Here is a 24,553-nt window from a genome sequence, read left to right as displayed (position 1 = left end):
TGGTCAGAACCTGAGTTCTTGCAGCTCCACCACCACAGGCTAATAAAGTACTCTGTGGTCCTACATAACTTTGAAAAGTGGCTTAAGCCACAAAGGCTGCAATTCCTGGTCAAGTCTTGGTACTGTGCTGGGCTCAGAGCCAGTGAACTTGGTGGGGATGCAACCCAGTGAGACGCCAGCAGGGGTGGCCAAAGGAGTGCTTGTGCCACCCTTAGCCCAATGGCAGGAAACTCAGCTTGCAGCTCCAGGAGAGGCTCTTTCCCTCTGCTTGAGGAGAGGAGAGGGAAAAGTAAAGAGGACTTTGTATTCCAACTTGGGTATTAGCTCAGCCACAGTAGGATACGGTACCAGGCAGAGTACTGAGGCCCCTATTCCAGGCCCTAGCTTCCAGTGACATTTCCAAACATACACTAGGGTGGGAGGAAACCCTCTTCCTTAAAAGGAAGGACTCGGTTGCAGCAGGATTCATCACCTGCTGACTAAAGAGTCCTTGGGCCCTGAATAATCAGCAGTGATACCCAAGCAGTGCTCACCATGGGCCATAGGTGAGACCCAGAGATGTGCTTGCTTTCGGTGTGACCTAACACATTCTCAGCTATGGTGGCCATGGGAAGAAACTACTGATTGAGGAAAGGACAGGGAAAAGTACACAGTATTTTGTCTTACAGCATAGGTAAGAGCTCAGGCACAGTAGGGTATAGCACTGTATTAATCCATACTCACACTGCTATAAGGACATGCCTGAGATTGGGTAATATATAAAGGAAAGAAGTTTAATTGACTTATGGTTCTGCAGGGCAGGGGAGGCTCCATGAAACTTAAAATCATGGTGAAGGAAGAAGCAAACGTGTCCTTTCCTTCTTTTCATGGTGACAGGAAGGAGAAGAATGAGAGCCAAGCAAATGCATAAGCCCCTTGTAAAACCACCAGATCTTATGAAAACTTACTCATTATCATGAGAATAGCATGGGGGAAACCACCCCAGTGATTCAAATACCTCCTACCGGCTCCATCCAAGGACATGTTGGTATTATTGGATCTACAATTCAAGACGAGCTTTGGGTGGAGACACAGCAAAACCATATCATTCCTCCCCTGGCCCCTCCAAAATCTCATGTCCTCGCATTTCAAAACACAATCATGCCCTTCCAAAAGTTCTCCAAACTCTTATTCCAGCATTAACTCAAAAGTCAAAGTCCAAAATCTCACTGGAGACAAGGCAAGTTCCTTCTGCATTTGAGCCTGGAAAATCAAAAGCAAGTTAGTTACTTCCTAGATACAATGAGGTTACAGGCATTGGGTAAATACACCTATTCTAAATGTGATAAATTGGCCAAAACAAAGGGGCTACGGGCCCCATGTGAGTCCAAAACAGTACAGTCATTAAACCTTAAAGTTACAAACTTATCTCCTTTGACTTCATGTCTCACATCCAGGGCATGCTGTTGCAAGAGGTGGGCTCCCATGGCCTTGGGCAGCTCTGCCCCTGTGGCTTTACAGGTACAGTCCCCCTCCCAGCTGCTTTCATGGGCTGGCATTGAGTGTCTGTTACTTTTCCAGGCACATGGTGCAAGCGGTCAGTGGATCTACCATTCTGGGGTCTGGAAGACAGTGGCCTTCTTCTTACAGCTACACCAGGCAGTGCCCCAGTGAGGACTTTGTGTGGGGGCTCTGACCCCACATTTCCCTTCCACACTTTCCTAGCAGAGGTTCTCCATGAGGGCTTCACCCCTGCAGCAGACTTCTGCCTGACATCGAGGCATTTCCATACATTCTCTGAAATCTAGGCAGAGGTTCCCAAACCTCAATTCTTGTCTTCTGTGCACCCTCAGGACCAATACCGCATGGTAGCTGCCAAGGCTTGGGGCTTGCACCCTCTGAAACAATGGCCTGAGCTGTAACTTGACCTCTTTCAGCCATGGCTGGAGTGGCTGAGATGAAGGGCTCCAAGTCCTGAGGTTAAACAGCAGGGGAGCCCTGGATCTGGCCCATTTTTTCCTTTTAAGCCTCTGGGCCTGTAATGAAAGGGGCTGCCATGAAGGTCTCCGACATGCCCTGGAGACATTTTCCCCATTGTCTTGGCTATTAACGTTTGGCTCCTTGTTACTTATGCAGATTTCTGTAGCTGGCTTGTATTTCTCCCCAGAAAATGAGTTTTTCTTTTCTATCACATTGTCAGGCTGCAAAATTTCCAAACTTTTAGGCGTGCTTCCTCTTGAATGTTTTGCTGCTTAGAAATTTCTTCCACCAGATACCCTAAATAATCTCTCTCAAGTCCAAAGTTGCACAAATATTTAGGGCAGGGGCAAAATGCTGCCATTCTCTTTGAAGAGCAAGAGTGACTTTTACTCCAGTTCGCAACAAGTTTCTCATCTCCATCTGAGACCACCTCAGCCTGGTCTTCATTGTCCATATCACTATCAGCATTTTGGTCAAACATTCCGCAAGTCTCTAGGAAGTTCCAAAGTTTCCCACATCTTCCTGTCTTCTGAGCCCACCAAGTCTCTAGGAAGTTCCCAACTTTCCCACATTTTCCTATCTTCTTCTGAGCCCTCCAAACTGTTCCAACCTCTGCCTGTTACCCAGTTCCAAAGTTGCTTCCACATTTTTGGTTATCTTTACAGCAGCACCCCACTTTTTGCGGTACCAATTTACTGTATTAGTCTGTTCCCACGCGGCTATAAGGACATACTCAAGATTGGGTAATTTACAAAGGAAAGAGGTTAAATTCACTTACAGTTCTGCAGGGCTGAGGAAGCCTCAGGAAACTTATAACCATGGCAGAAGGGGAAGCAAACAAATCCTTCTTCACAGGGCGGCAGGACGGAGAAGAATGAGATCCAAGTTCAAAGGGAAAAGCCTCTTATAAAACCCTCAGATCTTGTGAGAACTTACTCACTATCATGAGAATGGCATGGAGGAAACCACCCCGATGATTCAATTACTTCCCACCAGGTCCCTCCCACAACATGTGGGGATTATGGAAAGTACAATTCAAAATGAGATTTGGGTGGGGACACAGCCAAACCATATCAAACACCAAATGGGCTCTTGAGGTTCCCAATTCCAGGTCTTGGCTCTTAGAGAGCATTTCTTGACTTGCCCTGAGTCAAAGAGGAGTCCACTGCTCTGAAAAGAGAGTTCCAGGCCTGGAAGCATTTACCACCAGCTGACTGAAAAGCCCTTGGGGCTTGAATAAATATTGGTGGTAACCAGACATTACTCACCACAGGCTTGGGTGGTGGTGACCATGGGGAGCAAAACCTCTGCATGTGGAAAGTGAAGGGAAAAGTGGGAAAGATGTTTTCTTGTTGCCTTGGTGTCAGCTGAACCACAATAAAAAAAGAGCACCAGGTTGATACCTAAGGTTTGTGACTCCAGGGACTGGCTGCCAGACAGCATCTCTGGACCTAACTGTGATCAGGGGACACTTGAAGCCCTGAAGGTTGAGAGAAAAGCCTGGATGGTTTCACCACCAGCAGATTCTAGAACTCTAGAAACTTGAGTTAACATAGGCAATAGCCAGGCAGTGGTTATCGTGGACCTTGGGTGAGACCCAGTGTTGTGCTGGCTTTGGGCCTAACTTGGTGCAGTCCCCATGATGGTGTCACCGCCTTTCCCAGCCCTAGAAGCTCAGTTCAGACAGAAAGACTCTGTTTATTTGGGAGAAAGTAATGGGAAGGAACAAGAGTCTCTGCCTGATAATCCAGTGAATTCTTCCAGGTTTTATCCAAGACCACAAAGGCAGTACTTCTAGGAGTCATCAAGATCCTTCGAGTTACTGGGCGTGGGGTTCCTCCTAATGCAGATATGCCTGCAGTAACCAAAAACTTAGATAAAAACACCCAGGTCCCTTTGGATACCTGGAGAGCCTTCCCAAGAAGAATGGGCACAGACTGCAAATACTACTATAAATGCCTAACTCTTCAATGCCTCGATAATGATAAACATCCATAAGCATCAAGACAATCCAGTAAAACATGCATTCACCAAATGAACTAAATAAGGCACCAGTGAAACATTATGGAGAGAGAGATATGTGACCTTACAGACAGAAAATTCAAAATAGTTGTTTTGAGGAAACTCAACAAAATTCATGATGACACAGAGAAGGAATTCTGAATCCTATGAGATAAATTTAACAAAGATTGAAATAATTTAAAAGAATCAAACAGAAACTCTGAGTTAAAAAAATGCAATTGACTCACTGCAGGGTGCATAAGAGTCTTGTAATAGCAGCATTGATCAAGCAGAAGAATTAGTGAATTTGAAGAGAGGCTATGTGAAAATACACAGACAGAGAAGACAAAAGAAAGAATAAATGAGAATAATGCATGCATGCAAGATCTGGAAGATAGCTTCAAAAGGGAAAATCTAAGAGTTCTTGGCCTTAAAGAGGATGTAGAGAGAGAGAGAGAGAGTGAGAGAAAGGTAGAAAGTTTAATCAAAAGAATAATAACAGAGAATTTCCCAAACCTAGAGAAAGATATCAATATCCAAGTACAAGAAGGTTACAGAACATGAAGCACATTTATCCTAAGTAAGTCTATCTGAAGACATTTAATAATGAAACTGCCAAAGGCCAAGGATAAAGAAAGGATTCTAAAAGTGACAAGAGAAATAAAACAAATAATATACAATGGAGCTCCAATACATGTGGCAGCGGACTTCTCAGTGGAACCCTTACAGGACAGGAGACAGTGGCAAGACATATGTAAAGTGTCAAAAGAAAAAAAAAAACTGTTAACTTTTATTGTAGAATAGTATATCCAGTGAAACTATCCTTCAAAGATGAAGGAGAGATGAAGACTTTCCCAGACAAAAAAAAGCTGAGGGATTTCATGAACACAAGACCTGTCCTACAACAATTGCTAGGACACTCCCCTTGTCAATGCTTCCTCTACACCCCTATGGTTCATACTTCTAGTCAATCTTAACAAAACATCCGATTTCTAGAAAATATAGCATTTGACCAGGTGTCATGACTCATGCCTGTAATGCCAGAAATCTGGGAGGCCGAGGCAGGTGGATCACTTGAGATCAGGAGTTCGAGACCAGCCTGGCCAGCATGGAGAAACCCCATCTCTACTAAAAATACAAAAATTAGCTGGGCATGGTGGTGCAGGCCTGTAATCCCAGCTACTGGGGGGCGGGTGGCTGAGGCAGGAGAATCACTTGAACCCAGGAGGCAGAGGTTGCTGAGAGCTGAGATCACACCACTGCACTCCAGTCTGGGTGACAGAGTGAAACTCTGTCTCAAAAAAAAAAAAAAAAAAAAGAAAATATAGCATCTACCACACAGGAACTCTCACAACTGACTAGCCTGAATTGTGATCTCTTGTTTTCCCTTCACTACTGAATAAACAAAACAAAACAAAACAAAAAAATGTTCCTCCTCTCATGTAAGCCAAACTCTCTACTTCTGCTGGAAGTCCTAGCCCCTCTATGTTCAGGAGCCTTGTCTTATATACTGTCCCTCTCTCTCCTGTGTCATCCACACTGTCTCCCCTATATTAGACCATTGTCTCAGTTTTTAACTCTGTGAAGAAGCTTGCACATCTCTGAGACAATTCATGTTTCCTCCTTACTTCAAGCATGTTAGCTGATGTTTTGATAATGACTCTCTCCATTTCCTCACTGCTCTTGCATCCTGGAACTTACTGAAAGCTGGCTTTTCTATGTCTTTCATTTAGGCAGATGCTTACTGAGAGCTGACTATGCACCAGGCACCATTCTAAGGTGTAGTTAATGAGATTCATACATTCTGGTCATCAGGAATTGTACCAAAAGCTCCTTTGAGAGATCACATAGTCATTTATATTTTCAATATTTACCACACTCTCCATTCTTTCTTCTTTTATACAATTGTTGCTTGTTTAAGCAAATCTCAGCACTGAATATGTATTTCTTTCTCTCTCTCTCTCTCTTTTTTCTTTTGAGACAGAGGCTGCCTCTTACACCTGGGCTGGAGAGCAGTGGCGCGATCTTGGCTCACGCAACCTCCACCTACCAGGTTCAAGCAACTCTCTTGCCTCAGCCTCCTAAGTAGCTGGGATTACAGGCACCCACCACCACTCTCTGCTAATTTTTGTATTTTTAGTAGAGATGGGGTTTCACCATGTTGGCCAGGCTGGTCTTGAACTCCTGATCTCAAGCGATCTACCCGCCTCGGCCTCCCGAAGTGCTGAGATTACAAGCATGAGCTACCATGCCCTGCCCTGAACATGTATTTCATGCCTTAAGTTTATCTTCTGAAAAAAATGATGTAAATATCTCCAGATAATAGAAACAAAAAAAGTTGAGTAGTTTTATCCCATATAAATTTTGACAATTTTTTTTTGTTTGTTTTTTGAGAAGGAGTCTCGCTCTGTCACCCAGGCGGGAGTGCAATGGCATGATCTTGGCTCACTGCAACCTCTGCCTTCCGGGTTCAAGTGATTCTCCTGCCTCAGCCTCAAGAGTAGCTGGAATTTCAGGCGTGTGCCACCACGCCCAGCTAATTTTTTGTATTTTTAGTAGAGACACGGTTTCACCATGCTAGCCAGGATGGTCTCGATCTCCTGACCTCGTGATCTGCCTGCCTTGGTCTCCCAAAGTGCTGGGATTACAGGCATGAGCCAATGCTCCCGGCCTATAATTTCTTATATTTAACATCACAACCCACTCTGATCTTCAAGAAGATATATTAGAAATTTCTGAGTAATCAAAATAAAGACAATCATAACTAAAACAGGACAGTAACAGTTCACTCTGCTAACAGTGAACACGCTACAGTTTATTGCTGCAAGACACCATGTCCAAATACTACCTATGTGAATAATCTCCCTATTGAGGCTTGTAACGTGTTTGTTTTGTCACCATTCTCACTTGGAAACTTTTAAATTACTACCATGTACTTTCAGTCATGCCATACCATTGATACTAGAGATTCAACAGCTTACATGAAATCTGCCTATGCAATGGAAGTTCTTGCAGAACTGCCAAAGCTCTAGTTTTCATGTTACTTGCTTATTTTGTGGTTTAGATTTGCTTTTATTTTTATTTTATTTATTTTTACAAAAGTTTATTCTTAAATGTGCGGCAGGCTCTAAGATGACACTTCATTCTAACTATAGGTGGCAAAGGATGTTACAGCAGGAAATTCAGATGTTTAAATAGGGATGGAATTCAGGGTCACCATGGCCTCCGGCACAAGAAACAGCTTGCTTTTTACCAGATTTCTTAATTCCACCTTTGCCCAGGGGCCCCTTCCCTGCAGCCTCTGCTTTTAGTTTCTTGAGTTTCTTCTGTTCCTCTTTCTGCTTCTGCTTGAAAATGTTATCTCCTCGTTCATCTCCTCAGCCTGCTTCTTGGGCTGTTTGGGGGGCTTCTTGCCAGCTTCGTGGCCAGACATGGTGCCTGCACCCCTCTCCCACCAGTTTTACCCTTAAGTTAGTGTCCATGTTTGTATGTGGAAAATGATGTATAAGGATGGAATTCCATCTCAATTTGTCTCCATCTGCACAAACATAGATGGTGGCATAGTCTTGACATCCAACTCCACAACTATTAATGTTCCCCTGATTTTTATAAGTTCTGTGTTTCCCACATCCAAACTCTTTCTGCTCCCTTTGCTCTCCTCCTGCTTGCCTTTCTTCCTGGCTTTGCCACAGTAGCACAAGACAGCTGATCCACAGGTTTCTGGCAGATGCCGTAGCGCCGACTCCAGGGCAATGATGTGAATGTAAACCAGCATCTGTAGGCGCTCATTACAAACTGTAGGTAATTCAGAGTTAGCCTTATGTAAAATTTACCATCTATTTTCCAAGGACTGAGGAGTAGGGAGTGTGATCTAGTGGATAGAGAACTAATTGGGAGTCAAGAGACCCAGATTCTATTCTGAATTCCATTATAGTTGTGGTTTCTGATTCTGAGCAATTAGAGGCAACCTCTATTTCAATTGTCCTCCCTGTAAATTGCATATACTACTTATCACCTACAACTCTCTGCAGAATTTGAAAGATCTAAGTGAGTTATTGTCTGTAGAGTGGTTTGTGCTCCTGAGGAAAACAAAGTACATACTTCAAGATAGAAATCCTTTAAACAAAATAAACAACTCTAATACTAACACATCTTTGTTCCACCAAAAGAAAAAAAAAGGTGAATTTTAGAAGTTTTGGTTCATTGTGCTTTTTTTTTTAAGGAAAAAGATAATAAAAGGCACAAATGGGATGATAAAGTTTATTTTCTCCTCTAATTAAATATCAGGGTGGTAGCAAGGATCAGTGGTCCTTCGAGCACTGAGGCCAGTGGCTTTCCTGTTAAACCTTAAAACCTTAAAGATCTGTGATGGCACCACTGATAACAGACACACCACTTTTGTGCTGGGAGAGTTTTAAGATGATTCTTCTAGAACACCCCAAAGAACACCCCACATATCCCAATATCCTAAATAATATTTAGTTTACATCTGTCGTGCACAATAAATTGTTAAAACCTGTATGTATATCACTGCCCGCTCAAGGGCTTTTGTCCTTTTTCCCTCTGATGATAAACTGAGGTCAGGGAAGTTCAGACATCACAATCACTTGGTATAACAAATACCAAAGTAAGTCGTTATAACCTGGTACCTGGGAAACAAAGCCGCAATAAGAAGCTTCTCTGAAGTGATAGGTAGGGGACATTTTCCTAATAGTGATTAACACAAGAATAGTTACAGGGGCAAAATAATGAAGAACTTGTCATAGGAGTAAAGTGTAAATTTTGTAATTTGGTTTAGCAGAATAGACAGGGTAAGTAGGGCTAAAATTATCAGGTTATTAATTAGTAGAAAGTTAACACACACATCAAATTTATTCTACTATAAATTAAGAGCCACAATTGTTTAAGCAAAAAGTGAAATAAAAATACTATGATAAACACATTGGTATCTTAAGCTATGGAGTGCCCAGGAAATACCTTGTCCTTTTAATACAAGGAATATCTGAGAATTAATTCTGTAAATTAATTTACATTCCAGTATAAACTGCCTTTGTAAGAAAAGCCTAAGCTTTTCATTGTATAATTGTCCTGAAGAGCACTGATACACTAAGGAGAGTATAGGCTTAGGCACCGGGTTGCGGCCTAGCCAAATAAGAAGGGGGCTTTTGAGGGGACTTCTCTAAACTGAACTGCCTAAGATTCTAAAAGGGAAATAATCACACAAGGGAAGCTTCTATAGTGGAAACAATCACCTTTGTGCATAAGGGTCTTCTGAGGATAAAAATAAAGCAGCTCTAAGAAAGTGTGTGTGTGCATGTGTGTGTGTGAGAGAGACATAATTAACACTAAACATTACACTAAAGGATTAAGGTTTTCCCTGTAAGTACTGATGTCTGTATAGTGTGCTATTAAAATAATGTGGTAGTACATTTTTAAAAACCTCTTTTTTCTTCAAAATAAATTGCCACATTTCTATAATTCTGGTAGCTCATAAAGTAATAAATCTGGAGACTTAAGCCTCACTATATGGGTGATTTAAATACACATTTTACAATTTTTTAACAGGAAAATTCATCAGTTTCTTTGAAAGAATAATTAACATTTAAAAATAGCTATGCAACTACTTTTTTAATTTAAAAAGCAGAACCTCTATTGATCAATTGCTCAAGTATTTCTATCTTCTAATATGTATATCTAATTGAGATCTATATCTACTTATCACTTCAGAGAAGCTTAAGATATCTATCAAATTAAGATATATGTATAATTAAGATATGTTGCTAATGAAGATAGATATCAGGATATATATGTATGTGTGTGGATATGTGGATGTGTGTGGAACTTTGGATAAATATCTTTATTAAAATTGAAAACAACGTTCCAGAATTTACATAAGCATCTACAAAAAATACTCTGATATTTAGATATTTAGCTATAAAGAAAAGTCTCTTGCTTAAAATAATTTTAAATCTGTACAATGGGACGATTCTCAATTTGTTTGTTTCATAGACTTTTTTTTCATGAATCCTTAAAGATATTACCAAATAGAGTGCCTCCGCCTGGTTCCCGCACCGCCTGGGAAGTGAAGAGCGCTTCTGCCGGGCCACCCCCCACCACCACCTCCCTCGGTCTGGGAAGTGAGGGTCGCCTCTGCCCGGCCGCCCCACCGTCTGGGAAGTGAGGGGGGCCTCCGCCCGGCCCCGCGCAATGTCTGGGAAGTGAGGAGCGCCTCTGCCTGGCCACCTCTCCCCGCACCTCCCTCGGTCTGGGAAGTGAGGGGCGCTGCTGCCCGTCCGCTGCACCATCTGGAAAGTGAGGACCGCCTCTGTCCCGTCGCCGCCCCGTCTGGGAAGTGAGGAGCACCTCTGTCCCGTCGCCCCATCATCTGAGAAGTGATGAGCGCCTCTGCCTGGCCGACCCACCGTCTGGGAAGTGAGGAGCGCCTCTGCCCGGCCTCCTCACCATCTGAGAAGTGATGAGCGCCTCTGTCCGGCCGCCGACCCGTCTGGGAAGTGAGGAGCGCCTCTGCTTGGCTGCCCCACCATCTGAGAAGTGATGAGCGCCTCTGTCCAGCCGCCGCCCCGTCGGGGAAGTGATGAGCGCCTCCCCCGGCCGCCCCACCGTCTGAGAAGTGAGCAGCGCCTCTGCTTGGCCGCCCCACCATCTGAGAAGTGATGAGAGTCTCTGCTTGGCCGCCCCACCATCTGAGAAGTGATGAGCGCCTCTGCCCAGCCGCCACCCCGTCTGGGAAGTGATGAGCACCTCTGCTTGGCCGCCCCACCGTCTGAGAAGTGATGAGCGCCTCTGCCCCGCTGCCGCCAGGTCTGGGAAGTGAGGAGCACCTCTGTCTGGCCACCACATTGTCTGGGAAGTGAGGAGCGCCTTTGACTGGCCACTGTGCAACCCTCCAAGTGTGAAGTGGCAGCCTTGTGTGTGATCTTTATGCCCTCCCCAGGTTTGCATTTTGACATTAAAGTTTACTTTTAAATTAAAAAAAAAAAATAGCAATTACAGTCAAGAAAAAAATACAATAACTCACCAAGAACAAATGTAATTTTTCTCATGTATACACAGTTGGTTTAACATCCGAAGGTTAACAAATGTAGTATTATATAAATGTAACGTATCTAAGCATATTACCTAAATGTAATAAAGAGAAAAACTGTAAGATTATCTTAGTAGAGGAAGAAAAAACATTTAACAAGATTCAGCACCATTCATGATTTAAAAAAAAATGTAATGAGAAATGGAGGAAAACGTCTTTAACCTGATAAAGCGTATCTATGAAAAATGTAAAACTAACTTCATATTTAATGATGAAAAACAGAATGTTTTCTCCTGAAATTGGGAAAAAGGCAAAGAATGTCCACTCTCACCGCTGCAAGTATAGCAAGACAAAAAAGAAATAAATGAAAGGCACATGTTAGAATGGAAGTAACAATAGTGCATTTATTTGCATATGACATGGTGTATGTAGAAAATCTTAAAGAACCTAATATAAAGCTTCCTAAAGCTAATGAGTCTAACACATTCTCAAGATATAAACTAACATGCAAAAATCAATTTTATTTTATACACCAGAAATAAACAACCTGACAATAAAATCAAATTTTAATTAACTACAGCATATACCATAAAAAGAAAAACTCTTACAAATAAATTTAACAAAAAGATGTGCAATGTCTGTGAACTGAAAACTCTAAAGCATTGCTTTAAAAAGTTAAGGCTTATCTAAATGGAAATATATACTTTTTTATTAATTTGAAAATTCACCATTTTTAAGAGGTCAATTCTTCCAGAATTGACTATAAATTGAATACATTCAGAATCAAAATCCTAGCAGTCTCTATATAAGAATTTGACAAGCCAATGTTAATATTTGTAAGGAAAGGCAAATAATCTAGAAAAGCTTAAAAATTTTTTTAAGAAAAAACAAAATCAGATGAATCAAATTAGCTGGTATTTAAGATTTACAATAAAAGCACTCTAAGGAGTATGAGATTGGCATAAGGATTGACATAAAGATCAACTAAAAGGAATTTTGAGTCCAGAAATATACCCACAATTATTATATTGTAGATGGGTTTTCAACAAAGATACCAAGGAAATTCAATGAAATGAAGATCGTGTTTTCAATAAATGGATTTAGAATAAATGAATATAAATATAGAAAAAAAACTTTGACCCTTTCCTCATACCATACACAAAAAGTATACAAACCTGATTATCAACTTAAATATAAGAGGTAAAACTATAAAGCTTTTAGAAGAAAATCTGGGAGAAATCTTTATCAATTTCCTCAATACCAACCATAGAATATTGTATTACAAATGTAAACACTTTAGTTCTTTAAGAAAAATCATGGATATGCAATACTCTGGTGTCTCTTCATAAACTAATAATGTTTCATTTACGTTTTCCACTAAGTATGACCAGCGATTCTACTGAAATTTAGAGACCTGCACCATGTTAATCTTTCTTAACCTTTCACTTAAACTTTCATGCCAATAAACCAACACTTCTGCACATTATCAACATGAAGATTTGTACTGCTGTTACAGTCCAGGAGACTGAGAATGCTGAATATAAAATTAATTTTCCTTATCTCTAAGTCATATATTTTATTTGTAGTATTTTTGAAGAGGGTATTTGAAATATTTAAAAAATTCTAATCTGCAGTTTTAAAAAATGACAAGACCATATGAATTATGATGATAAAAATGGAAAGACAGTTACTAAAAATAGTTGCTTCTCTGTTCATCTTGACAAACAGATGCAACACTTTGACAGCTAATCAACACAGGTTTTCTTTTTTTCATACTATATCTATCATGTTCTGGAATGACCTATTAATTTTAATTGCTTTGCTAGGCTCCCATTTAATGGTTCAATGAATATAATACATTTATGCTTTTCTTTGCATAATGAAGTGGCCAGGTAAGCGAGATAACTTTTTGAAGTTAATACAGCCAAAATATAAATATAGCCAAAGTAAAATATATATAAAATACAGCAAAATTTCAATATTTCAACTTCTCATTGCTACTACTAATAAAACTTATTTAAATTATGTTTGTAAACTTACAAATTGGCAATAAAAGTGAGCTTCACTCCACTACAAAAGTCTCCTTCAAATCATACACATTTTTTAAAGTTTATAGTTACCAAAATGCTCTTTATGATGATATAATAAATATATTTCCCTTTGTTACATGTTTATTTGGTTTTAAATTACTGTGAAGCCAAGTGATTGCCAATACACTTAACTCTTACTCAGAGTAAAATGACCAGTAATAACAATTTCAAAAGCATGGAGTTTTCCTATACATTTTTTTCATAGTCTTATTCTATTAAAATGTTTAAATATTTGGCAGCTCTGATAGTTTGTCAATTTTGTTTCTTCTACTAAATACTTTTTAGGGCTTTAATTAGAACTTCCTTATGTTGTCTAGTGAATGTTTCCTTGTTGTTGTCATTGTTGTTGTTGTCGTCATTGAGAGAGGGTCAGAGATTAATACACCAAAGATAAATTATTCCAGTTGAGACAGAATGAGCCAGGTACCAATATTATTTCATGAAACATAACAAGATGTGTGTGACATTTTTGATGCTCTGTATATTTCCTAAATGAGTCTAATATTTTTCACACACACCCACACACGCATACACACACCCACACATTCACACACATTCATCTTCATAATGCATTAAACAATGAGAGGTTTCAAAAACTTAGATAACGTTTCTTATTATCCATCGTGATCTGTAAATTATATTTCAAAAACTGCCATTTTCCCTTACTTATATCATTGCCTTTATTTTCACTAAAATCTATTTTAAAATAATATTACATATGCTTTTCATTTCTTATCCAGAGAATCTCACAATTTTCCTATTTTATTCCATTTCTATGTATCTTTTCTCTTCTTCTTTCATTGTGCCCATATTACTTGTCCCTATTTAAATGCTGCCTTTTTCTCTAGTTCTCATCTTTTATCTATTTTTCTATTTCCCAGTGTAATATTAAATGCTCATCGTTTTATGTAATGTTGTCTTATGACTTTGACCTTATTTCACAGCTGGGATTGGATCTTTGTTTTTCTCAGCTAAATTAGTACCAGTTCATTTATATCTCTTCTAAAGGACTGTTTCAAATAAAAGCAGCCCTTTGACCACTGAGGCTGCAAGGGAGACTTGGCTATACAAAACAATTCAGAAAAATTCCCAGGATACCAAAGATAAGGTACATATAGTTTTGGGTTTTACATTTAAGTATCTAATCCATCTTAAGTTATTTTTTGCATATAGTATAAGGAAGAAATCTAGTTTCAATTTCTGGAAGACAACATTCTGGACATAGGAACGGGCAAAGATTTCATGAGGAAGACACAAAAAGCAATTGCAACAAAATTAAAAATTGACAAACAGGATCTAATTAAACCAAAGCGCTTCTGCACAGCAAAGAGAACTATCAACAGAGTAAACAGGCAACCTACAGAATGGGAGAAAAATTTTGCAAACTATGCATCTGACAAAGTTCTAATATCCAGCATCTGTAAGAAACTTAACAAATTTACAAGAAGAAAAGCAAACAGTCCAATTGAAAAGTGGGTAAATGGATGTGAACAGATGCTTTTCAAAAGAAAACATACATGTGGCCGACAATCATATGAAAAAAAGCTCAACATCACTGATCATTAGAGAAATGCAAATCCAAACCACAATGAGATACCATCTCACACCAGTCAGAATAGCTATTATTAAAAAGTCACAAAACAATAGATGCTGATGAGGTTGTGGAGAAAAAGGAATGCTTTTACTCTGTGAGAGTGTAAATTAGTTCAACCATTGTGGAACACAGTGTAGTGATGCCTCAAAGACCTAGAGGCAGAAACACCATTCAACCCAGCAATCCCATTAGTGGGTATTACCCAAAGGAATATAAATCATTCTATTATAAAGACACAAGCATGTTTATATTCATTGCAGCACTATTCACAATAGCCAAACATGAAATCAATCTAAATGCCCTTCAGTGATAGACTGGATAAAGAAAATGTTGTACATATACACCATGGAATACTATGCAGCCCAAAAAAAGAACAAGCTCATGTCCTTTGCAGGAACATGGTTGGAGCCGGCAGACATTATCCTTAGCAAATTAATGCAGGAACAAAAAGCCAAAGAACACAGATTCTCACTTATAAATGGGAGCTAAATGATGAGAAGAAATGGACACATAGAGGGGAATAACACACACTGGGGCCTATTGGAGGGTGGGGAGTGGGATAAAGGAAGGGATCAGGAAGAATAACTAATGGGTACTAGACCTAAAACCTGGGTGACAAAATAATTGCACAAAAAACCCCATGACACAAGTTTACCTATATCTCAAGTTACCAATATAACAGGGATGCCGACACATATACCCCTGAACTTAAAAGTTAAATTTAAAAAAAAGAAAGAAAAAGTTACATATATCTACACAGGTGACTTGTTCCCAAGACTGTCTGTCCCTGAAGAGGCTATAAAGGCAAAGTACGCTCTCTGTTCAGTTTGGACTGAATGTCCATTATTCTCAAACACAAACAAAGAGCAAAGAACATCAACAACAACAAAAACTAGATAAAACAACATTAATTATCTAAGATAAGGCACTACTGCTACTGAGCCCTAAATGACACCCACAAGGCCTGGACACTTAATTGCATTCTCTACCAAACTGTATCAGGAAGCCACATAATAAACAGTTACTCTGCATTTTTTGGAGTGCAGAAACATTGAATCATCCATCCTTCATACCCACCTGTATGTACTCCTATACCCAGATAGGCAACATAGATCCACAAACTTACTCAGTTTTCCCTTTCTGCAAATATATTTATTGTTAGATGTCAGAAAGAGCAATGGGATAATTATTCAGTGGTATTAAACCTTTTCTGTACCCTAAAAAGCAGGAAGCCCAGAGAAGAATTCCCTCAGCTTGATGTGACAGAGGCTGCCCTGAGATGGCCAGACACAGACACCTTTCTCTCTTTTCATTTCCTACTTTGGCCTTAATATAAAAGTCATGTCTTCCAGCACCTCCTTTGCTCTTCCAATCCTTTCCATTTCAAAACAGCTAAAAGACTAAGTTTTAAATTTTCTCGCCACAAATAAATGATAGATATTTGAGGCGATGAATATGCTAATTAACCTGATTTGATCATTCCACCATGTATACATGTATTGAAACACCAAATTTTACCCCATAGATATACAAAAATATTATTTATCTAATAAAAGTAAAATTAGATAAAGTACATGTTATGACATTGCAGCTCTTATTTTCCTGTAGATGAAGTTCTATTCAGGCTGCCTTTCTAGTTTTCATGCAGCAGCTCTCCCTTCCCTCTCCAGGACCTCCATGCAGACAGGCTGGCTGCCCTTCAGTTTCTCTACCCACAGAAAAGCAGGTGAGCTCAATACGGGCTGCTCCCTGGAGGGCTTGCTCTGGTCTTCTTTACATTTTTACCACAGATGGGGCCTGTATTTGGGTCTGTGAGGCACTGGGCTGGCCCATTAATAAAGCTGATGACCCAATTGCTTATTTAACCACAGAGTTCTTGGTCAACTAGAGATTTTATTACAACTGGAAACACTAAAACCCTGGAGGCCAATGGTGCACCTTACACTCAACAGCACGCATGGCAGAATGGAAATCCCAGAGACCCGACAGCAACCAGAGCCGGCTGAAATCCCAGTTTGAAGACATAGTAATTAGAAAGGTATGTAATCTCAGTCTGATGTCTTAATTTTAACATTAGGATAATGCAACTTTGATGGATGTTTTAAAAAACCATTTAAACATGGTCGTTTTAGATCATGATTGTCAAGTGTCTAAAGTAGCACTTGGTGTTCAATATCACGGCCAGGGTTTGATAAAAGTAGCCAATTAAATGTGAATTTTAGTTAATCCACATATGCTTGGCAGTTCTGCCCATCCCCATTTGTTACCACATATTACCTTTGCTAGGGCCTGAATAGGCAATGAACAAGAATTTCAAACAATTTTTTCCTTAGCTTTGTTTTTCAAATCATGAAATAAATCCATGCTTCAAATATAATCTTCAACTATTAGCTTGGAGGTAGCTAAATTTTAGATGAACAAAGACAAGGCAATCTAACAGGTTTTATATGTTAGGAATAATCAGATATAAACATAATCTGAAACAGAAGAACAATTTTGGGGTCCCAAATACATTTCTAAAAACTAAGGCCTTTCAGATAACAGGTGGATTTTCACACTAATATTTGGAATGTAAATGTTGATTCACATGAAGCAGATATTTTAAATTTTTTAGCACCAAATTAGTAAATGGTGGCCTGTAACTATTTAAAATAAAACATTTTGGAAAATTATTTAACGGTGTTAAAAAGCCAGTTACACTCCACAATGTCATTACATAGTAAGGCATATGAGTGAAATTTACCCATGGCTAAAACCACCATGGCCTATGGGAAGATGTTTGAAAATGAATTTTTAAAAATTCATATAAAAGGAAAATATTTTGTTGCAGGATATTTGCTAAGATAACAAGAAGCCATAAGCAGAGTTTTTTGCTTTTCTTTTTCAAGATAAGACAGAAAAGCACGTTGAAAATTATGTTTGAAATTATATTTACTACCAATCTCACTGTAGACTCATGGAATATTACAGGTGAAAATCACTGTAGATTTAATCTAATCTACTGCCTTCATTTTAAAGATAAGGAACGTGGTTAAGTGACTTTCTCAAAGCTCTAGAGGCATCACCAAAATATGTACCAACTTGGGGGAATGTTATCACAATGGAAAAGTTACTGCACCTTTCTCCTCCAAATTGGGAGTAGGATCCTAATTAACAGAAACTAAGGTGATGATGAACACACATGATCTATTCTTTCATATGTCTTATGTATCTTCCATAATATAATGGGTCCTTTCTGAATGTAAGCATCAATGCTCAAGGTAAGATGAACTGCTGAGCTTGCTTCACATGGCCGTTCAATGTGGATGGGTGTTTACATGCAGAAAGCAGCTGACAGTGACTTAATCAGAGGTCAAAAATGGCAGCCTGCATGCTGAATCTACCATGTATTTTTTTTTTTTTTGCTACATTTTTATTTTATTAGCTCTGTGTTTGAGATAACAACTCCATCCGAAACTCTAATATTCCAGTTTTATTGAAAAACCACATGGGCCCTTTTACCATGTGGCCCACGCTCCCATGTGGCAAGATTCATTTCATTAAACTAAGCAGTGGTTGATGATTCCCTGATTTTAATGGGACAAAAACTCCCTTATTTACTACAGGATATACCATTTCCTGTTGTATGACACTCATTCAATTATGTCAACTGCCTGGCCTGGCCTGGGTAGTATTTGTGACTATCCGAAAAGATGATCCTATAAATTAATAAAACACTATAGTATAGTCACTATGACCTTTCATGTTTATCCCAATTCTTTAAGAAGTATAATCTATTATAAAGTGTTATCATTTCTCTCTCTCTCTCTTTCTCTCTCTCTCTCTCTCTCTCTCTCTCATATATCAATTCGGAAACACCAAGTATACTATTTCACTGGGTCCTCACAATAACATGGGGGTCAGTTGCATCAGCTGTGTAAGCCACATTTTACAGATCAGAGAACTGAGACTTAGAAAGGTAAGATAACTTGCTCATGGCCATAGATTACACGGCAAAGCTGGTGCTCAAAGTCTGGTCTTCTAAGACCAACAGGCATTGAACCATATCCTGCTGCGTTACCATGTCACCCATTCTAATAATAATGTGTATTTTAATAATGCTTTTAACTTTATCCCTAATAACCTTATTAGGTTGTAAAGCAAGATTTGTCATATTAAAAATCCTTCATGTATTCATTATTTTTATTGCTTATTTTGTAATTTATTTTAAAAATTAGAAATAAATCAAATAATTAACTTGCAATCATACATTGAGATCGTAGAACAATAAGGAACTAGTATTCCTATAGGGAAGAGTCATGTTCTTCACGTTCTGTGTAATTTAGTGTTTTTTGCCTAACACTGTTCTTTCCAGATACTCCAAGGATAATCATAGTCACTATTTATGAAAAGACCATATTTTATTAGGAGCTTTTCATTTTTAAACATTTTTTAGTTTTGAAAACAATCCTAAGAGGTGAGTGTTATTATAACTACTTCACAGAACAGCCAACTGAGATTTGAAGAGAGTAATAAGCCATTTACCTGATTTCACACAACTTGCAATGTGACTTTCTCACACGTGCTTTCAAAAAGTGGAGTCATAATTCTGGGGGTTGTCCAAGTGACTCTCTTTGGCCCATATATAGCAACAAATTAGATGTAAGTAAACATACCCGCAAGCAAGAGAGGAGAAGTCTCAGTACACAAGTACTTTTGTACCCAGCGCTTTGAGAACACTGAGACCACCATGTGGAGGAGCCCATGCTGCTGTTGGAGAGGCAACGTAGAGGAAAACTGAGGCTCCCTGGCTGACAGCCTGCTGACCACTAGTTCTAGGAGCAAAATAATCCTAAAGTGTTGAATGGATGAACAAACGATGGTGCATGTACAGATGCATTTCACACATACTGATGCACACAGTAACCTATGAATCTCAGATTTTTTTCTGATAAGTGAAAGAAGCCAGACCAAAACACTGCATACTGTAGATGCCATTTATACACCATTCTGGAAAAGGCAAAAGTACAGGAACAAAGAACACATCAGTAGTTCCAAGGAGTTAGAGATGTGAAAGGGTTTGACTATATAGATGGACAATATGAGGAAATTTCAGGGTGCCCATCATAGAACTATCCCGTATATTGATTGTGGTCATGCTATATGATGTTATGCATTTGCCAAAATTTATAGAACTGTAACCAAAATGAGTAAATTTTCTTGAATATAAATGAAAATGAAATTTAAAAATACTTCCCTTTTCCCCTCTTCCCCATGTTAACTGTGAAACTGTGTGAGTTGGTGGATTTAAAGGTGGAATGATCTGGATTATTTAAATACTGGATCTGCATTTTACTATTTGAGTTATTTAAGTAATCATCATTTCTCCGAGTTTCAGTTTATAATATGTAAAATGGAGAGAACAATACCCACCATAGGCTTCCAAATCTTCATCTGTGATGGAGTTGAGTTGTACCCTCCAGGGTTATGATAAGAGTTGAATGGGATAATGTTTGTAGAGGGCCTGGCATAAGTAAGTACTCAATAAAGGGAAATGATGATAGTGCAGAGGATTATGGTAAAGACAATGATTACCTCCATTAGGGAGGCACTCTTTGGAGAGTACTTATTCCTCTGGGAAACTGGGGGGACTCGCACTCCTGATTCTAAATTTACATTGTGTTGTCTGTTTCTCTAAAAGATCCTCATGTCCTGTGGGTGATGAGACTTTCAACAAATGGAGGGTCCCAAAATGAATAAATTCAGCAGATATCTACTAGGCACTTATTACATACAAAACACTATCAAGCAGGAGTTCTGTGTAGTAATTACAATGATAATATCTAATAAATTTTTTACAACAAACTACAATGATATCTTATACATCTTTGATTTATACTTGATTTAGGAGGTCCCACAGTAATCCTACTCATTACCCCTGAGGTCATCCTTTGGGAACTGCAGTCCCTGAACTCTAAAGCTTTATGGAATTCTAGAGTCTTTGCATATTTGACTGTAATTTTTAAGTGAACACTGCTTATATTATGTCAGTTTCCTTGCCTATACCAAATTCTTAGAATCAAGAAAAGTGTCTGAAGACAATCTTTGGATCATGCTCAAAATACAATTGATTCTTGAACAATATGGGTTTGATCTGCCTGGGTCCTCCTACATGCATATTTTTTCCAATAAATTTATTTAAAATTATTTTTGAGATTTGCAATAATTTGAAAAAATTCACAGGAGAAAATTGCAGCCTAGAAATATTGAAAAAATTAAGAAAAAGTTAGTTATGCTGTGAATGCATATATTTAGATATTTGTCTATTACTATTATAAAATGTGTATGAATATTTTATGAAAATTTAATATTTATTGAAACTTAAGCAGACAAACATTCATGGGCCATAGATGGCATCATTCAAAGTCAAGAGAAATGTACACAAATGTAAACATGCAATGTTAAATCATAACTGCGTAACGTTAACTATATTAACTACTGCACTACTCCAATAAATTCATGGCCACCTCTTATTGCTATCAAGTGTTCTGAGTATCTGCTTAAAATGCCATGTGATGCTAATCATCTTCACATGAGAAGTTCATCTCCTCAGCAAATAGTGTATCACAGTAAAAAGTGATGTCCCATAGTTTTGCATATTTTTCATCATATTTACTGCAATACTGTAAACCTTGAATAGCACCATGGAATCCATACAAAGTGCCATGAGTGACGCTGAAAGTCCTTCCAAGAAGCAGAGAAAAGTTACAAAATTACAAGAAAAAGTTGAATTGCTTGATATGTACCATAGATTCAGGATTGCAGATGAGGTTGCCCACCATTTCAAGATACATAAATCCAGCCCAAGGTCTACTGTGGAAAAAAAAAAAAAGAAAATTCATGAAATTGTCACTGTAGCTAAACCAGCAGGTGAAAAAACCTTGTGCTTTTTGCAAAATACATATTCTCTTGTATTGAAAACTTAGCTTTTATGTAGGTGCAGGATTGCTATAAGAAAGTCATACCTATAGACTGTAAATGATTTGAGAAAAAGAACAGTCATTAGATGACAACTTAAAGCAAAAGGATGGTGAAGGACCGAAAGTTGGAGAATTTAATGCCAGAAAAGAATGGTTTGATAATTTTAGAAAAGCACTTGGCTTAAAAAACTGTCAAGATAACAGGAGAAGCATGTTCTTCAAACCAAAAGGCAGCAGATGAGTTTCAAGATGCCATTAAGATAATCATTGAGGAGAAAGATCTGCCTGAACAGGTTTTTAATGCAGACAAAAGTGCCCTATTCTGGAAACAAAAGCCACAAAGAGCATTTATTAGTAGGGAATAACAGTGAGCACCAGGATCTAATGCAGGAAGGAAAAGGCTACTCCACTTGTTTGCAAATACAATTGGGTTGGTGACCAGGACTCCCCTTATCTATAAAGCTGTTAACTCCAAGCCTTCAAGGGAAAAGATAAACACCAGCTTCCAGTCTTTTGGTCATACAAAAAGGCCTAAACAATGAGAATCATTTTTCTGGATTGGTTCCATCAGTGCTTTGTCCCTGAAGTGAGGAAGTACTTTGCCAGTAGGGGACTGCCTTTTAAAGTTCTTTTGGTATTGAGTAATGTCCCTGGCTGCCCAAAACCCTTTGAGTTCAATATCAAAGTCATCGAAGTGGTCTACTTCCCCCCAAACACAATGTCTCCAATTCAGCCTCTAGACCAGAGGATTATAAGGACCTTTGAGGCTCATTAAACATGGTACACTATGGAAAGGATTGTCAACACTATGGAAGAGAACCCTGAAAGAACATCGTGAAAGTCTGTGAAGATTACACCATTAAAGTGGCCATCGTTATTGTAGAAAAAGCTGTGTCCAGATGTTGCACATGACTTCACAGGATTTCTGACAGAGCCAATCAAGGAAACTGTGAAAGAAATTTTGGATATGGAAAAAAGGTGGAGCGTGAAGGGTTTCAAAATATAGATATCGGAGAAATTAAAGAGCTAACAGCCACCACACCAGAGGAGAAGACAACTTGATGAAGATAAGAGCTTCCAAACCAGTGCCAGAAAATGAGGAAGAAGACATAGAAGAAGCAGTGCCAGAAAACGAATTGACATTAGACAAATTGGAAGAAGGGTTCCAATAATTAAATATTGCTTTTACTTCATTTATGACTTGAACCCTTCTTTTATATGGTTACTGGACTAAAGAAAGTGGTGGAAGAAATGTTGGTATAATATAGAAACATACTTAGAGAAATGGAAAAGCAAAAAGTTAGACAGAAATTATCATGTATTTCTGTAAAATTATACAAATTTCTGTAAAATTATGCCTGCCTCTAGTTCCACTTCCTCTACCTCTTCCACCTCTGCCACCTCTGAGACAGCAAGACCAACCCTTACTTTGCCTCCTCTTCCTCAGCTCACTCAATGTGAAGATAACAAGGATGAAGACCTTTATTATGACCCACTTAATGAATAGTAAACATATTTTCTCTTCTTTATGATTTTCTTAATAACATTTTGTTTTCTCTAACTTACTTTACTGTATACAAAATAATTGTATATTATACTATACAACATGTAAATTTGTTAATTGACTGTTTATGTTAACCATAAGCCTTCCAGTCAACAGTAGGATATAAGTAGTTAAGATTTTGAAGAGTCAAAATTTATACTTGGATTTTCAACTGTGCATGGTGTCAGTTTCCCTAATCCCTGGGTTGCTCAAGGATGGGCTGTACTAAAACAACATGCTAGCCCACATCTGAATGCTGTGCAGTCCCTAAAGACAGAGGGCATTACTTTAGTAGAAGGAGCAAGGAGGATTCTCCAGCACTCTGACTCCTCCAACCAAAGAACTTTTAAACTTAGAATTGATGGAATTTAACCAGAAGTTAGAAAAAGGAAAAAGTAGCCTATACATGCAGGTTGGTAAAAATATTAAGAAGATATTCATGCCTAGGGAAAAACTTATTGAGAGTTATACAGTCATTGATATTAACCAACTATCATGTATTGGAAAGAACATTAAGCTAGTAGTTAGGAGAACTGAGTTCTAGTCTTGTCTGTAGATCAAAGTCTCTCCACTCCATCTATCAGAGTCCTAGACTGGAGTGAGTCTATTCAATGAAACTATTCAGAAAACTGGCCATATTACCTACTATGGGGCAGGCTTTGGGAAAAGATATATGGCTTTATATGGCTAAACACCACCTAATTGCCTTGTTCTAATATATATATGTATATGTGTGTGTATGTATATATATATGTATATCAGAAGTACCATCTAGTCAAACAGTACATTCTAAACCTAAAGGATAAGAAGCTTGACTTTCGAGGGTAGAGAAGAATATAGTAAAGGGCATCCCTTTATAAAGAAGATTTAAATGCATAATCAACGATTTAGGCTAAGAGTAAAATTTTAGCTTGAATTTGATTGAAAGGATAAAAATGTCTTGATGAATGGTGAAGAAAACTGATTCTCAGTCTTTTAAAACGTCTTCATACAAAGAAAAAACAGGTAAAAATTTTAACTACAGGAGAACTTATCAATGACAAGGGAAGGAAAAAGCAAACTGATTAATAATCCACATATTCAGAAATGATAAAGAGCCTTGGAAAGTATGGAAATAATACTTTATTCACTTTTATGATTCTGGAAAATGTAATATGAAATAAAGCATAGTTAATTTATGTTTTTAATTGGAAAACTAAGTAATTGATATTTTTTAAAGCAGGGATACCCAAAAGTACATCACAATGGGTTTTCTCAATAGAACCCATAAGAAGTAAATTATAAAGTCCCCATTTGTGCTTCACAGGGAAAAAAAATCCATTACCATTTTCTCTTTATTGGCATAATAGTTCTTCAGAATGG

At 38.4% G+C, this 24,553-nt stretch overlaps 1 protein-coding gene and 1 pseudogene across 6 annotated transcripts in view; both read right to left on the bottom strand.

The window, feature by feature from the left end:
- Positions 1-24,553, bottom strand: part of NKAIN3 (sodium/potassium transporting ATPase interacting 3) — a 750,799-nt gene that overhangs the window by 594,211 nt on the left and 132,035 nt on the right. The window lies entirely within an intron of this gene.
- On the bottom strand, positions 6,623-10,107 carry LOC112268028 (translation machinery-associated protein 7-like; annotated as a pseudogene).

The sequence above is a fragment of the Homo sapiens genome, chromosome 8 (assembly GCF_000001405.40).
Source record: "Homo sapiens chromosome 8, GRCh38.p14 Primary Assembly".
Classification (NCBI taxonomy): Eukaryota; Metazoa; Chordata; class Mammalia; order Primates; family Hominidae; genus Homo; species Homo sapiens.
Note: the sequence above shows the minus strand (reverse complement) of the source record. Positions and strands in the feature narration are given on the sequence as shown.